At 59.0% G+C, this 15,783-nt stretch overlaps 1 protein-coding gene across 32 annotated transcripts in view, besides 1 other annotated feature; it reads left to right on the top strand.

Moving 5' to 3' along the window:
* The window catches only part of ADGRB2 (adhesion G protein-coupled receptor B2), a 37,224-nt gene extending 22,800 nt beyond the window's left edge, over nt 1-14,424 (top strand). For 9 of the 32 annotated variants that reach the window (XM_011541858.3, XM_047426180.1, NM_001364857.2 and 6 more), the window contains 23 exons: nt 62-168; nt 1,000-1,194; nt 1,363-1,431; nt 1,507-1,615; nt 1,906-2,233; nt 2,604-2,709; nt 2,911-2,954; nt 3,215-3,341; nt 3,786-3,889; nt 4,010-4,112; nt 4,818-4,968; nt 5,151-5,220; nt 5,648-5,714; nt 5,876-5,961; nt 6,260-6,358; nt 8,398-8,569; nt 8,929-9,024; nt 9,387-9,426; nt 10,122-10,741; nt 12,908-12,943; nt 13,261-13,359; nt 13,460-13,516; nt 13,936-14,424. In XM_011541858.3, coding sequence (XP_011540160.1) covers nt 62-168; nt 1,000-1,194; nt 1,363-1,431; nt 1,507-1,615; nt 1,906-2,233; nt 2,604-2,709; nt 2,911-2,954; nt 3,215-3,341; nt 3,786-3,889; nt 4,010-4,112; nt 4,818-4,968; nt 5,151-5,220; nt 5,648-5,714; nt 5,876-5,961; nt 6,260-6,358; nt 8,398-8,569; nt 8,929-9,024; nt 9,387-9,426; nt 10,122-10,741; nt 12,908-12,943; nt 13,261-13,359; nt 13,460-13,516; nt 13,936-14,121 — 3,071 coding nt within the window. In that variant the 3' untranslated portion in view covers nt 14,122-14,424. Of the gene's footprint in view, nt 1-61; nt 169-999; nt 1,195-1,362; nt 1,432-1,506; nt 1,616-1,905; nt 2,234-2,603; nt 2,710-2,910; nt 2,955-3,214; nt 3,342-3,785; nt 3,890-4,009; nt 4,113-4,817; nt 4,969-5,150; nt 5,221-5,647; nt 5,715-5,875; nt 5,967-6,259; nt 6,359-8,397; nt 8,570-8,928; nt 9,025-9,386; nt 9,427-10,121; nt 10,742-12,907; nt 12,944-13,260; nt 13,360-13,459; nt 13,517-13,935 lie in introns of those variants that run through there. The other 23 variants (NM_001294335.2, XM_017001900.2, XM_047426182.1 and 20 more) reach the window with 11 other exon arrangements.
* Nucleotides 2,092-2,201: a silencer, noted in NCBI's record as "silent region_573". NCBI's record gives its function as "represses an Ori minimal core promoter by ATAC-STARR-seq in GM12878 lymphoblastoid cells {active_cell/tissue: GM12878}" and the evidence as "EXISTENCE:reporter gene assay evidence [ECO:0000049][PMID:35858748]".
* Nucleotides 14,425-15,783: the final 1,359 nt, after the last annotated feature.

Raw genomic sequence — 15,783 nt, 5'->3', positions numbered from 1 at the left:
CGGAGGAGTGTGGGTGAGAGCTCGGCCCCCATGCCCAGACCTCTGTCCTATTGCCCTGCAGGGTCTGCCAGCCGCCGCTGTCTCCTCAGTGCCCAAGGCGTGGCGTACTGGGGGCTGCCCAGCTTTGCTCGCTGCATCTCCCATGAGTACCGCTACCTGTATCTGTCAGTGAGTGCACCCTGCTGGGCTGGGGCACAGCAGAATCTGTCTCAGACTCTGCTAGGGGGTGGAGGGAGCGTGATTCTCGCTCGTTCCCACGTGCCTTGGCATATGCTGTGCCCACTTCTGCCTGGCTGTGCCTCTCCTTGTCTGGCAAGCTCCTACTCATACCTCAAGGCCTGACTCTCAAGTGTCTTCTTTTATCCCTGGTGCCTACCTCTGCGCTCCTGCAGAATGAGCTCCTCAGTCATTAGGTGCTCATCCAAGTGTCTGTGTGTGCTGCTAGACTGGGGCCTCCTTGAATTTATTTTTGTGTCCCCAGCATCCAGCCCAGGGCCAGTCATGGGGTAAGAGTAGCATCAGTGAATGTGTGTACATGTTTGACTGTAATTGGGTATTAATTGTGTGAATGCATTTAGAGCTTGTGTTGAGAGAGAGTGAGAGAGAGAAAGACAGTGTGTGTGTGTGTGTGTGTGTGTGTGTGTGCGCGCGCGCCCACACACATGCTCATTACACTCCAGAATGTACATGACCCCTTTGGGATGGGGAGGTACCCTGTTCCCATACTGTGCTTATATCTTTTATATGTACATCTGAACACCTTTTTTCTCTAGGTGTTTCTATTTCAGTCTTTTTTAAAGTACCCTTTGGGATTCTCTCTCTCTCTATGAGTCTCTTTCTCGGACTCTGTCTCCCCTGTGTGCCCCTTTGAGCCTCTCTGACCTTTTCCCCCTTTCTCTCCCCGTGGATGCAAGCAGTGGGTGGACTGGAGTGGGATGGGCCAGGGTCTGGTTCCAGCTCCTGACACTTCAGTGACTGTGGCCCCCTCATCACCTACAGCTTAGGGAGCACCTGGCCAAGGGGCAGCGCATGCTGGCAGGCGAGGGCATGTCGCAGGTGGTGCGCAGCCTGCAGGAGCTACTGGCCCGGCGCACCTACTATAGTGGGGACCTGCTCTTCTCTGTGGACATTCTGAGGAATGTCACTGACACCTTTAAGAGGGCCACCTACGTGCCCTCGGCTGATGATGTGCAGGTACTGCCTAGGAGGAAGGAGGGCGGAGGGTGGAGAAGGCCCAAACTGAAGCGGGAGGCCAGGCCCCTAGGCAGAGTCTGCTGTAGAGGCGGCAAGTGTGGCTATAGTGGGGGAAGCCCCCTGTTCCCTGGGGCTAGGACCCCCTGCCACTCATTGCTCTCTCCTCAGCGCTTCTTCCAGGTGGTGAGCTTCATGGTGGATGCGGAAAACAAGGAGAAGTGGGACGATGCTCAGCAGGTGCGGGGCACAGCTGCCAGCTTCTCCTCCCGTGACCCACCCTGCCTTGGACCCTTACACACTTTCTGTCCCCAGGTGTCCCCTGGCTCTGTGCACCTGCTCCGTGTCGTGGAGGACTTCATTCACCTGGTGGGCGATGCTCTCAAGGCCTTCCAGAGCTCTCTGATTGTCACAGATAATCTAGGTAGAAGGAGTCAGGCAAGGGTGGGGGTCCTGAATGTGCCAGAACTCAAGACGTTCTGTCTTTCCTCTACCTAACCCCGTATTTGTATCTTTCTGTCCACATTCTACCCTCTCCTTCATCTATGTGTGGTCTGTTTCTCTGTGTATGTCTGTCTCTGTGTTTGTACCAACTTCGGTGTCCACATCTACCTTTCCTGGTACGTGTTTCCCCTACATCTGTCTCTTCCCCTGGTCTGCCACCCTTTGTTTCTGCCCCTCTGTCTGTCTCTGTCCACCCTCCTCCCACTGCAGTGATCAGCATTCAGCGAGAGCCCGTCTCAGCTGTGTCCAGTGACATCACGTTCCCCATGCGGGGCCGCCGGGGCATGAAGGACTGGGTGCGGCACTCAGAGGACCGCCTCTTCCTGCCCAAGGAGGTGCTCAGCCTCTCCTCCCCAGGGAAGCCAGCCACATCTGGGGCAGCAGGCAGCCCTGGCAGGGGGAGGGGCCCAGGAACGGTGCCTCCTGGCCCAGGCCACTCCCACCAGCGCCTCCTCCCAGCAGACCCTGATGAGTCCTCCTACTTTGTGATCGGTGCTGTACTCTACCGCACCCTTGGCCTCATCCTGCCGCCTCCCAGGTGAGTCCTGGGGATGGGTGGCTGGGGCTGCTGAGGGTCCAGGAAGGCCCAGGTAAGGGAAGGAGGACTGAGCCAGTGCTGGCTGCAGAGAGATCCATGGCAGCCTCCTCCACCTTCAGGAACCCCTTGCCTGGCTCTGGACACATGCTTCTCAAATTTATCCATACTGCTCTCAGAGGCTGGGCTGCCACCCAGCGGGTGAGGGACAGAGCTCTAGACCTCACCTGAAGTCCTGGACCCCACTGAGTTAGGCCTTCCCCTGGGCCTTGGCTCCTTGGAAGCCTCTGCACACCCATCCAAAGCGGCTTCAGGGTTTCTGACTGGGGCTGGCACCCGCTGGCAGGAGCTGACTTCGGTACCTGTCCCGCAGGCCCCCGCTGGCCGTCACATCCCGGGTGATGACAGTGACTGTGCGCCCCCCTACCCAGCCTCCAGCTGAGCCCCTCATCACTGTGGAGCTCTCCTACATCATCAATGTGAGTGGAGATCCATGCAGAGACCTTGGGTGCACCTCAACCTGGGTGGCCAGAGGCCTGGCTGGTGGGAAGCACTCTGTCCCTGATGGTGGGCTGAACCCTGGACCTGTGTGGGAGCTGCTGTGGCCCCCATGGCATGGGCAGTGGTGGGGTGTGGTGAGCTTCCCTCCCTAGACTGCACTCATGTCTTTTGCTCCCCAGGGGACCACGGATCCCCATTGCGCCAGCTGGGACTACTCCAGAGCGTGAGTTGGGTGGCTCCTCTGGGTGAGGAAGGGAGCAGCCCTAGGGCCCTTTGCCAGAAAGGGGTCTCCTGCCTAAAAGGCAAGAGGGATTTTTGGTGCCATCCTAGCCTAAGGGGTCAAGAACGTATCCTGGGACTCCCTGCTGTTGCCTCGTGGATGTGGCCTTACTGTGGATTTAGCCTGTCCTTGGGCAGTGGCCAGGACTGGGGGCAGGGCCACGTAGCTGGCCTGGGGCTCACTGAATCTCTCCCCTACCCAAGAGATGCCAGCTCAGGAGACTGGGACACTGAAAATTGCCAGACCCTGGAGACCCAGGCAGCTCACACCCGCTGCCAGTGCCAGCACCTGTCCACCTTTGCTGTACTAGCCCAGCCGCCCAAGGACCTGGTGAGTGGAACAGAGGTGCCTGGGCTGAATAAGGGAGGAGGCCCTGGGCTTCCAGCAGCCATCAGTGATGGTGTTGGCAGGCGCCTGGGTGATCCTGAATGTGCATCTGCAGGTGCGCTTGTGGGATTGTACGTGGATGTCTGTGCCCCTGGGATTGTGCTCACAGCAATGATATTTGCCTGGGGGTATGCGGCAGTGGCCAGTTGTGTGTGTGTGTGTGCACATGTGTGTGTCTGGTTGTGTGTAGAAGAGTGCAGGTGACTGAGCATAAATATGTGTCCACATAGATACCCGGGTCTGTTCTGTGCATACATGAGTACAACAGCAAGAAGGTGTTGCCCTTCTGCCTGTGGGTATGCCAGTCTATGGTAGATGAGGGGACAGGGCACCCCTGCAGCTCCCCCCTCCCAGGAACCCATCTGACTGTCTGCCCATCTTCCCCAGACCCTGGAGCTGGCGGGCTCCCCCTCGGTCCCCCTGGTGATCGGCTGTGCAGTGTCGTGCATGGCGCTGCTCACCCTGCTCGCCATCTATGCCGCCTTTTGGAGGTAGGTCTGACACCTGGCTCTTGTGGCTGGGGGAGGGGGGGCAGGCGCAGAAGGTGGCCAGCCACACCAGGTCGGATGGGGCAGCCAGCGCCTCTGTCCCTGCCTGCTGTGCCCCGGCAGGTTCATAAAATCTGAACGCTCCATCATCTTGCTGAACTTCTGCCTGTCCATCTTGGCATCCAACATCCTGATCCTCGTGGGCCAGTCCCGGGTGCTGAGCAAGGCAGGTGCAGACTTCCAGGGCTGCCAGGGGTGTGAGTGGGGTGGAGGGGTGAGGGTGGAGAGCGCAGTGTGTGTGTTTGCTTGTACGTCCATTAGTGGTGGTGTATGTGTGCCCCATGTTGGGATTAGAGTGTGTATGAAATAGTGTGTGAGACCATATGTGAGGACATTGGAGAGGGGGTGTGTACTCAAGTGAGGAACTTCTGTGAACATCAGTAAATGTGTGTGTGAGCTGAGCGCTGGGTGTGTGTTGGGCAGGTGGCATTGGGCCTCCTTGTGTCTGTGAGCGTGTGGAAGCCTGAGTGAGGCCTCCTTTTGCCACCTACCTGTGGACGACCTGTGCAGACTCTTCCCTATGCCCCCTTGGCCTTCTCTGCACAGTGCCAGCACCATGCATGCCAGGCACAGGGCCTGCCCAGCTGTGACGTGGCAGGTGCTCATGTCTGTCCCCCTCCCTGCCAGCCCCGTCTGTGCGTGGGCAGCCTGCCCACCCGCCTCCCTGGATGCCGAGTGCTGTGTGTGTGTCACCAGGCCCGTGTCGTGCTGTGTGTGGGTGCAGGAAGGCGGGGGTGCCTGGCAGGGCTCTGTGGGGGGCGGGGCTCAGGTGGGCGGCTGTGGCAGCGCCCAGCAGCGGGCGTGGGAAGCCCGGCGCCTCCTGCCCTGGCGGCTGCTCAGGGCCACTCCCTCCCATTCCCTCTCCCTGCAGGGCGTGTGCACCATGACGGCTGCCTTCCTGCACTTCTTCTTTCTCTCCTCCTTTTGCTGGGTGCTTACCGAGGCCTGGCAGTCCTACCTGGCTGTCATTGGGCGGATGCGCACCCGCCTCGTTCGCAAGCGCTTCCTCTGCCTGGGCTGGGGTGAGCAGGGCCAGTGCTGGACTCTGCTGCTGGGCCTTGGTGGGCAGGGGCAGCAAGAGAGGTTCAGCTTTGGCCCTGGCCCAGCTCTCTGGGCACAGGGGTCAGCTGGGATGGGAGTCTGGGAGAACAAGGGGTCCCTGAAGACCAGCAACCATCTCACTCTGGCACCCCTGCTCCCCCAGGTCTGCCTGCCCTGGTGGTGGCCGTGTCTGTTGGCTTTACCCGAACGAAAGGATACGGTACATCCAGCTAGTACGTGGGCCTCCCGTGGTGGGTGGTAGCGGGTAGTGGATCTGTTAGGGAATCGGACTGGGCAGCTGGCTGAAATCCTAGCCCATGCCTGTTTTGGGTCTTTGGGCAAGTTCCTCCCCATTTCTGAGCTTCAGTTTCCCTGACTGAGGGAATGTGCTAGGACTGGGTAATCCCTAAGGGACTGTTTAGCTCAGGAGTCAGCCTTGCTTCATCCCCATGGGAGCACTGGGGGATGAGCCTAATGTTCTGGACCTTTGTTGGAGGGGAAACCGAGGCTCAGCAGGAGCCAGTGGCTCACTCTCACCGTCTGGGGCTCAGACTGCACTGGTGATGCGGGCATGGCAGCCTGGGAGGACTGAGGGATGGTGTTTGAGGGTGGGGAGGGAGGCTGCTGGGTGTCTGACACCCTTCTTCTCCCCCACCCCAGCTGCTGGCTCTCCCTGGAGGGCGGCCTGCTCTACGCCTTTGTGGGCCCTGCAGCCGTCATTGTCCTGGTATGTGCCCGTTCAGCATCTTGGAAGGGGCATGGCCCCAGAGGGTCATCCTGTTTCTCCCTCTACCTCCTCCCTGCGCTCCAGCTCCCACATGGGGATTTCCCTGCCAGGAGGGCACCTGGTGATCCTGTCTCCCCCACTCCACTCTACTGGGCCCCCAGGTGAACATGCTCATCGGAATCATCGTCTTCAACAAGCTCATGGCACGTGATGGCATCTCCGACAAATCCAAGAAGCAGAGGGCCGGGTAAGGGGGGGGCCTCTGAGACTTGGCCTTTCTGGAAATGGTGCAGGGAGGGAGGGACATGGGTGCTCTTGGAGACTCAGGGCTCGATGATGCGACCGGGGCTCCCCAACCTTGGTGCATCAAGGTTGCAGGCAAGGTGGGCACCCGGAGTGCTCAGCCGCAGCCCCTCACCCACCCTAACCCAGCTCTCTCTCTCTCGTCTGCCCTCCCCTCCCACCCCACTCGGGGCTCATTCTGCCCCATCTCCCGGCTTCCCATGTGTTTCCCCTCCTTCTCCCATGTCTGTGCCGCCCCCGAGGTCGGAGCGGTGCCCCTGGGCCAGCCTGCTCCTCCCCTGCTCAGCGTGTGGAGCGGTCCCCAGCCCCCTGCTCAGCTCAGCCTCGGCCAGGAACGCCATGTTAGTCGTGCCCCCTGGGGGGCGGTGGGGGTGGGTGGGGCAAAGGAATTGGGGGGGGCAGTGCCCATGGTGGGGGGAGGAGGAGGGATATCAGCCCAGTGCCCTGGAAAGCTTGCCCTTTCCTGCCAGCCACCACACACTCTCAAGGGCTCGGCAAGAGGTGGCCAAGGCGATGAGGAGTGGATGTCTGTGCCTCCCACAGGTGCCCGGTTCCTTCGCCCACCCTTGGATCCCGCCCCTGCCCTCACTCCCAGCTAATGTTCTATCCTGCACCGCCCCACACCCCCAACCTACAGAGGCTCAGACAATCTTAAGCCTTAGAATTTTTGAGCTATAGAACCTTAGAATTAGAATGATAGAATCTTAGAATAAGACAATCAGAAGCTAAGAATGTTAGAATGAGTGAATCATCCAGTCTTATCATCTGTCATAGAATCTGAGACTTAGCATTTCAGAGGCATTGAATCTCACACTCAATTGGAGACAGAGAATCACAGAGGTAGAGAATTATTTCACTGAGACCCCCGCCCTAGCATCTGAGAATCTTAAAATCCCAGCTATGCAAGGGTAAAACAAATCCACAAAGACCTTAGGCTCAACCTCCCACCCAGGTCTGGAAATCCACCCAAGCCTCCATGCCCAGTGAGGTCCAGCTTTATCTTGCACACCTGCAGGGTCAGGGAGCTCAGGGCCTCTGGAGGCAGCTGGCACCGTCACCACGAAGCTCCCTCTGTCTTGGGCTGCCGTCTGCCTCCCTCACCCCGTCTGCACTAGCTGTTTCAATGCTTGGGCTTTGGAGTCGGTCAAGCTGTGTTTGTATCCCAACTGTGCCTCTCCCTGCCCAGCTGGGCTCACTCCAGTTTCCTCATCTGTAAATTGGGATAATAATCCCATGCCTGTTAATTGGAGTTGTTTTGATCATGATTTGAAGTAATATATGTAAAGTGTTCAGTGTAGGGCCTGGTAGAGAATTGGTGGTTAATCAGCGTAGCTCTTATTACTGTGATTAGACCCTCTCTTAGTCTTGGCTACACCTCCGGGGACTTCAGAGTCCATTGTGCCTGCCCCCTGCCAGGCTGAACAGCCCTGAACTGCACTTCCTAGGGCAGGTCTTGGCCCCCTGCCCATCTCTCTGCTTTGGCCTCCCCCGGCTGTCTCTGCGGAATGGTGCCACCCTCTGCCATGCCTAGAGCTGTGCCTGACTCTCCCACTGGGGGTGTTTGCGAAGGAGAGTGGGCTGAGTGTGGCACCTGGCCCGGGAGGGTATGGTGGCCTGGCTGTCCCTCATGTGCTATAGCAGGTTAGGGAGGGGTGGGAATGGCTTGGATGCCAGGCCCCATCTGCTTTTTTTCTGCCCTCCCCTGGCAGGGAGGCCAGGGAGGTGTAGGCCTGGCCCGACCCCAGCTTTTAGCCCCAGCTCTGAGCCTTCTGCCCAAGGCTCTGAGCAGTCCGTGGGAGCCTGGCGTCTTCTCTGTGTGTGGGGGGAGTTCTGCTTCACTGGTCCTGGCCCCCTGTCTTCTCCCTGAGGATTCGTGCTCTGGATGTCCCCCGCGTGCTCTGCCTGTTTAATCTTTCTGTCTGGGTGTCTCTGTCGCATGCGTTCTCTCACTGTGGTTGTTGTTGCTTTGTCCCTCTTCCAGTCCCCCTCCCCAGCCTACCCAGTTAGGCTCTGGGGATGCCGTCCCGGCCCCGTGCATTTTTAAAAAGCTCCTCAGGTGATTCTGTGCATCTGTCTGCCTCCTCTTCTCTCTCCCCGTCCCTTTCCACTGTCTGTGGCTCGGTCCCACTGTGTCTGCGTGTCCTTCCCCACCTTCCTGGTCCCTGCTCTGACCCCGTAGTTCGCTGCTTTCGGTCTCTGTTCTGTTTCTCTGGCTCTGGCTCCTCAGCCCCTCTCTGCTTGGGGACATTACTGAGGCCCTGGGGTTTGGGGCCCTCCCAGTCTTGGGCAGCTGAAGAGCTCCAGCTGAGTGGAGGCCTAGGCTCAAGCCATCCTGTCCCCCGGAGTGTCACTCTGATGGGCTCTGCCACTGTCCCCTCAGGGCCTCACTCTGGAGCTCCTGCGTGGTGCTGCCCCTGCTGGCGCTCACCTGGATGTCTGCCGTCCTGGCTATGACAGACCGCCGTTCCGTCCTCTTCCAGGCCCTCTTTGCTGTCTTCAACTCCGCGCAGGGCTTTGTCATCACTGCTGTGCACTGCTTCCTGCGCCGAGAGGTGGGGCTGGGCCTCTCCCGCCTGTGTGTGCCCACCACACCTGCCAGGCCCTTGGCTTCTCCTCACTGTGCAGACCGGGAGGATCGAGGCCCCGACCAGGGTGCCCCAGGCCCCATCTGGGCAGCCCTTACTGTGGAAGCTGATAGCCCGGGGTACCCGCAACTGTCCCTTATGCTTATCCTTGGCCTCCTGGGTCTCCTCCTCCCGTTGCACCCTGCCCAGGTGTCATCACCTTCCCCAAGGTTGGATGTGTTGCCTTCCTTCTACACTTGCCTGGGCATCTGGGGTGGGAAGCACAGCCATCTGTGGTCGGGGGCCCTGCAGTGGCCTCAGGCCCAGCAGGCGCCCTCTGTCCCCAGGTCCAGGATGTGGTGAAGTGCCAGATGGGGGTGTGCCGGGCTGATGAGAGCGAAGACTCCCCTGACTCGTGTAAGAACGGGCAGCTGCAGATCCTGGTGAGTTAGGGGCCTGGGCAGGGCCTGGGCAGATTCTGGGCACCCCCCACCCCAATCCTCCTGCCCTAGACCATTTACCTTCCCCATCCATGGCAGGGTTGGGACAGGGATTGGGTTTGATTCAGGCTCAGCCACTAACACCTGGGTGGCATTGGGCAAGTCCTTCCCCCACTCAGTTTTCCTAGCCATCAGGTGGGCTGGGGTAGGCCATGCCTGGGCTCTGCTGGGCCATGGGCTATGGGCCATGGGCAGCCCTAAGGCAGGCAGACTGGGCAAAGCTGGCTGGGGAGGGCCTGAGCCTCCTCCCACCCTGATACATTAATCCTCCCTCTGCCCACCTGCCCCTCCCTTTCTGCCTATAGTCAGACTTTGAAAAGGATGTGGATCTGGCTTGTCAAACAGGTGAGTGTGCCGTGGCAGAACTGAGAATGGTCCTGGGGTTGGAGAAGAAGGGGAGGCCTTGAGCCCCATCATGGGAGGCCCTGATGGAGTTCTGGCTGCTGGAGTCCAGCTTCGAAGTTAGACAGCCCTGAGCTGGACGCAAGGCTGCGAATGTCCCTTACTGTATGACCCTGGGCAAACAACCTGCCTCTCTAAGCCTCAGTTAACACACCTGTAAAGGAGAGAATACTGTCCTCCCAGGGCAGGTGGGGGGCTTAGGGGCATGCATGAATTCGGGGACATCGAGTTCTTAGCAGGACCCATGGCACAGAGTGTTACGTTATTATATCATTTCCAGATTCTTACCAGAATCTTTCCATTTCTGTCTCCTGGGGAGCTGATGCACAGGGAGGTGGGAAGACAAAGCCCTTTGACAGCCGTGGGGCTGTGGGGTCAAAGTCGGGACCTGCACCAGGACACTGGGAGCTGGGCCTTGCCTTTGTTTCTTGCCCTGTCTCAATGTGGGGACTTTGGAGCCGTTGTCTTCTTAACCCCTCTTATATGTGAGAGATTACCAACCACCCAGCCATCTCTCCAGGACCCAGTTTCCTTTCCTGTCCAAGCGCAGAAGCTTGGTACCTCCCCAGCCTGGGCAATGGCATCTGGAGGTTCCTTCTCCTCAGGACTCACCCCCTCCCTCCCACTCCTGCCCCCAGTGCTGTTCAAGGAGGTCAACACTTGCAACCCGTCCACCATCACGGGCACACTATCCCGCCTGTCCCTGGATGAGGATGAGGAGCCCAAGTCCTGCCTCGTGGGCCCTGAGGGCAGCCTCAGCTTCTCACCACTGCCTGGGAATATCCTGGTGCCCATGGCAGCCTCACCAGGGCTGGGGGAGCCTCCGCCCCCACAGGAGGCCAACCCTGTTTACATGTGTGGGGAGGGTGGCCTGCGGCAGCTGGACCTCACATGGCTGCGGCCCACTGAGCCAGGCTCTGAGGGAGACTACATGGTGCTGCCCCGGCGGACTTTGAGCCTGCAGCCTGGCGGTGGGGGTGGAGGTGGTGAGGATGCCCCCAGGGCCCGGCCGGAGGGGACCCCCCGGCGAGCTGCCAAGACAGTGGCCCACACTGAAGGCTACCCCAGCTTCCTGTCCGTGGACCACTCGGGCCTGGGGCTGGGCCCTGCCTATGGATCTCTCCAGAATCCCTATGGAATGACCTTCCAACCGCCACCGCCGACACCCAGCGCCCGCCAAGTGCCCGAGCCAGGGGAGCGCAGCCGGACCATGCCTCGCACCGTGCCCGGCTCTACCATGAAGATGGGCTCCCTGGAGGTGAGGGGCTGTAGGGAATGGGGTGTGTGTCTGAGACTGTGTCAATCACAGGCTGCAGCCAGGAGGGGACAGCCTCATCCTCCCCAGAGCGGCCTCTCGTAAAAGTCACTGGGAGTGGATACACTGAGCATTTCTCTGTTTCTGCTCATGGCAGCTCCGTGGTGTCTGTGAATCCTTCAGACAGGCTGGGACTTCACACAGTAGAATTGTACTTCTCGACTCGTTCACACTTGCTTTAGGGCCTACTTTGGGGTGACTGGTTAGGATGAGTCCTCATTTCAGGAGACTGTGGCTCAGGCAATGTGTGAGCCTGGGCCTCTGCGTCATGCAGGTCTGAGTTCCAGTCTGGACTCTGATTGGCAGTGAGATCAGTGAGCCTTCATTTTCTCGTGTGTAAAGTGGGGATACCGTAGCAGTCTCTTTGTGGAGTCGTTTTGAGGATTGAGTGATGTAAAACATTTATGTGGAGCAAGTAGAAAGTGCTAGATAATTGGGGATTGCTGCTGTTAGCACCCCTGAAATCAGCTGCAGATGCTGCCCACAGGCCTGTGGTAACTGACCCTCTCTTCCGGAGAAAAGCAAACCCCTCCGGGTCCCTGCCTGTGTGTGTTCTGTGAATCCTTCACCTTCACGCTGGCCTCCTCAGGTCTGCTCCCTGCAGAGGATCACTGAGAACAGACAGTAGTGGCCTGCTGTGGAACTCTAGAACATTCTGCAACTTTATTGGAGTCATGAAGGGGATGTGGTTAAGGAAAGGGACAGGAGTCGTGGCTTAGCCACAATTGGCTGTTCCTGCTCGGCCTCAGAAACCCACTCCCCATCCGCCACAAGACGAAAATTAAGTTAGTAGCTACGGGGCTCACAAGTTTAGTTTTTCTCCCAAAGTGTTTCTGGAACATTTGGTGCCTGCTTCTGCCACAGATGGCAAAAACAGGAAGGCGTAACAAAGACAAAATGCAACGCCAGTGTCGGAGAAGGGCGCGCTTGGCGTCATGGCGGGTTTTGTTCTGTGGACACCTGCCTGCCGGCCACTGTTGAGGGCGGACATCAGGCTCCTTGTGTGGGAGGCAGTAGTAAATGCAGCAGCGCTTTGAGGGGTCAAGGATGACATCCAGAATTCGGGCGTGGGCAACCGTGATGGGCGGAGGAACAGGTCTGGGTAGGGAATTACAAGTGTATTCCATTGGTGTGAGCTGCATGTGCAGTGCCTGTGGGGCATCAGACAGGGAGAGGTGCCCTGTTGCCCCCAGAAAGAGAGATGTGGCTGGGTTGGGGAGGATACACGTGTGTGTGGTAAAGGCAGGAGAAGGTGCCGGGGCAGAGTGTGAGTGCCTAGTATTACAGAAGCCAGGGTAGGCAGCGGAGAGAAAGCAGGTAGGGAGAGGAGAGGAAAACCAGGAGAGTGAATGCCATGGGCCCATGGTGGTGAGCATGCCCACAGGCCTGGGAGATCCAGATGGTGGTCCTAGTATCACCTTCGAAGGCCTGGGAGCAATTCCCTTCACCTCCCTGGGTCTCAGTTTCCCTATCTGTAACCTGGGAAAGTTGGCCTTGGCTTCATGGGTCTCCCTGTGCTGACATTTTAAGACTCTCAGGCCTCTTTCTTGAGTAGCACTGGGTACAGTACAGCTTACTGGGGCCTTGAAAGTGGTCTGGGACAAGGAGGGCCAGGAGAGGCATGAGGGAGCAGAGAGGCCAGGGAGGCAGCGCCTGGTTTGGCAGGAAAAGGGGCAGTGTGAGGTCAAAGGAAGGTTTCTGAAAGCCTGAATACCTGTGTTTGCAGGACAAGTGGAAGGTTCCAAGGGGAGGGGTAGCTATGGCTGGCAGAGAGAATGGGGCAAGATGGGGAAGGATGCAGGGTGGGCTCTAGGGCACAGAGAATGAGCACTGGCTCTGATTCCATGTGGGCATCTGGGCCTGTCATGTTGGAAGTCCGCACCATGCCATTTGACGTGTGTGTGTGTGTGTGTGTGTGTGTGTGTGTGTGTGTGTGTGTTCAGTGAGGCCTGAAAAGCTGCCCCATGAAGGTCCGCAACTTCTGGGCCTGGGTTGGGGGGAAGGTGCAGCGGGCAGACCCCTGGGATGCCAGGCTTCCTGTCTCTAAAGCCCCTGCCGGTGGTAAAAAGCTTTCTTCTCCTCCATTGCCTCCTTGTTGCTCCTTCCCAGCGAAAGAAATTACGGTATTCAGACCTGGACTTTGAGGTAAGGGCCATGTGTGTGCTGGGCGGTGGGACATCTGGCTGTGGTGTCTGTCCCTGGAGGGCTCACTCCTAAAAGTAGTCCAAGCTCTGTTGCAGAGCCTGACCCCAGGAGCCCAAGCCCGGGGGTTCCGTGGGATCTTCCCATGATTCCCTCCCTGCCCAAGCCCATAGCACCAACGTGAAGAGAGAACTAGGTCTTGTCCCAGAGGGGCTGGCAGCAGGGAGGGATGTGGGGGGCTTGGGGTGCTGAGTGCCCTGGGTAGGGGGGATCATGGTGCTGCCCCGGGGAGCGACCCTCTGATGCCCTGTGGCCCCTAGAAGGTGATGCACACCCGGAAACGGCATTCAGAACTCTACCACGAGCTCAACCAGAAGTTCCACACTTTCGACCGCTACCGCAGCCAGTCCACGGCCAAGGTGAGGGCTCCTCCCGTGGCTGCCCCTGCCCTGAAGCTCAGGGCCTGACCTGGTGCAGTGGCCCCTGGGGTTGGAGCCTGACCGGTGGCCCCCGTTGCAGAGGGAGAAGCGGTGGAGTGTGTCCTCGGGTGGGGCAGCCGAGCGGAGCGTGTGCACCGTGAGTCCCCCCGGGCTGGGTGGGGTGAGGTGGGCCTGAGGGACCCGTGCCCTCCCTGCCCTCCTGCCCCTCCCAGGCAACCCCAGCCTGTCTCACCAAGGGCCTCCCCCACGGCATGGGCAACAGTCTGGGGCCGCCTGGGGGTGGGGAAGGTGCTGCAGATGGCGAACAGGGGTGGAGGTCCTCCAGGATTGGGAGGGAGAGTGGTCAGCAGGAGACATGTCCTGGGGGCCACTGAGAACAGGGGTCAGGAGCCCCACCCTGGAACCAGGCAGGTCTGTATTTGAATTCTGCTTGACACCTGATTGCTCCATAACTTTGGGCATTACCAGCCCTCTCTGGGACTCCTCAGTTTGATCGTCTGTACAATGGGTAAGGATATTGGCCCATCTCCACGGCCCCTCCCGCTCCCTCCACAGGATAAGCCCAGCCCTGGGGAGCGCCCCAGCTTGTCCCAACATCGGCGCCATCAGAGCTGGAGCACCTTCAAATCTATGACACTGGGCTCGCTGCCCCCCAAGCCCCGAGAACGGCTGACTCTGCACCGGGCAGCAGCCTGGGAGCCCACAGAACCACCGGATGGTGACTTCCAGACAGAGGTGTGAGTGCCACGCTGGACTGCCCACTGCATATAAATATATATATCTCTCTATTTTCACACTCCACTTTGGAACTACCCAGGAGCCAGCGCCCTCTCCCCTCTCCCGAGGGCTGGGCAGGGAGGCGCCGTGGACTCAGCCAGGCTGGGGGAGCCGGACATGGCTTGGCCTGGGGTCCCAGGGCCCTTCCTTGTTTCTCAGAGGCCCCTCAGCCACTGGAACCCCATCTTCAGCCCAGCCTGTCCGTCCCTGTCCCGGGCTGGGGAGGGGGGAGGGGAACTTTGTTGGGAATAAACTTCACTCTGTGGATTTTGCTGCTGAGCTGTTTGCTTCCCTCAGGTAAAGGCCCAGCTCTGGGACCCCGACTTTGTTTCTGTCTCCTGGGTTGAACTCACTTGATCTCATCAGATGATGTGATGGGGTCAGTCCAGCCCTGCCTGGGAGGGGGCGGCCTAGGCTCTGACCCCATCTTTGTCCCTGACTCTCTGGGTGATTCATCCTTTCCCCGATCTGGGCTGTGGGAAGCAGATTGGGAGTGTGGGAGGGGACCTCTTATGGCTGGCTTTTCCTGGTGGCTGTGATGGTCGTGGCTGCCATTCACTGGGGCACAGAGGCCAGACTTCCTGGGCTAGAGCCAAGACAGAGCTTAGTGACCTTGGTTTCACATCTGTGAAATGGGGATGGTAACAGTGCCCACCTCACAGGGTTGTTACAGGGATGAAACAAATTCCTATTTGTAAAGTGTTCAGCAAATACCTGGGACAGGATAAGCTCTTGAAGGGTTAGCTGTGACCATGTGGCACCAGTCTCATGCAGTGCTCTAAGCTAGGAGCTTCACACACATATCCCCTGGCCCCTCACAACAACCCTGTTGGAAGGTTTTAGGTTGCCCATTTTGTGGATAGGAAAATGAGGCCAGAGATGGGCAGTGCCCGGCTCAAGGCCACAGTCAGAGGCAGAGCTGGGACTTCAAACCCACGCTTGATGGAGGTGGGGCTTCAGCTCAGCTTCCTGGAACTTGACCATGGCTGCAGGGGAGCCGCAGATGCTGGGTTGTGGTGGAGATGCAGGTGTTGGACCGGGCCAGGGCTGGGGTGGGGTGTGGGAGCCAGGCTGGCTTGGTGCCAGGGGCTGGAGGCTTGTACTGAGTTGCATTCATTACATGCCTGAGTGAGCGGATCCTTGCTCAGTTTTCAGGCCCCCAGAAAGAGGGGGCACAGGATTACATCTGGAAACATATTCTGGAGTCAGGCAGCAGCTGGAGCAGAGGCACGGTTAGCAGGGTCACAGGTCCTTCTTGCCTGGTCATTTAGCAACATGGGCACCTCTGGGCCCCTTCCCAGGGACTCGGAGACACAGACAGGTCCCTGGAGAGCTGAGGGAGGGTTAGGTGCTGCAGCAGCCTGGGTGGGAGTGACAGAAGTGACTGGCTGCTGGGGTAGGGGGTATCACAGATAATGGCCTGCCCAGGGGTGCTGGAGGAGGGGCGGAGGCCTCTTCAGAGTTTTGCAGGCCTTGATGGCACAGGCTTGCTCTGGTCTCATTCCAATCCTGCCTGCTGTGAGACCTGGTCAGAGGAGCCGTGCGGGCAGAGTCCACTCAGGACTGTGCTTCTAGACCCTTGGAGCTCCTGCGACTCACTCCTCCGCCTCCCTCCCTTCGGGCAGC

The sequence above is a fragment of the Homo sapiens genome, chromosome 1 (genome assembly GCF_000001405.40).
Source record: "Homo sapiens chromosome 1, GRCh38.p14 Primary Assembly".
Taxonomy (NCBI): Eukaryota; Metazoa; Chordata; class Mammalia; order Primates; family Hominidae; genus Homo; species Homo sapiens.
Note: the sequence above shows the minus strand (reverse complement) of the source record. Positions and strands in the feature narration are given on the sequence as shown.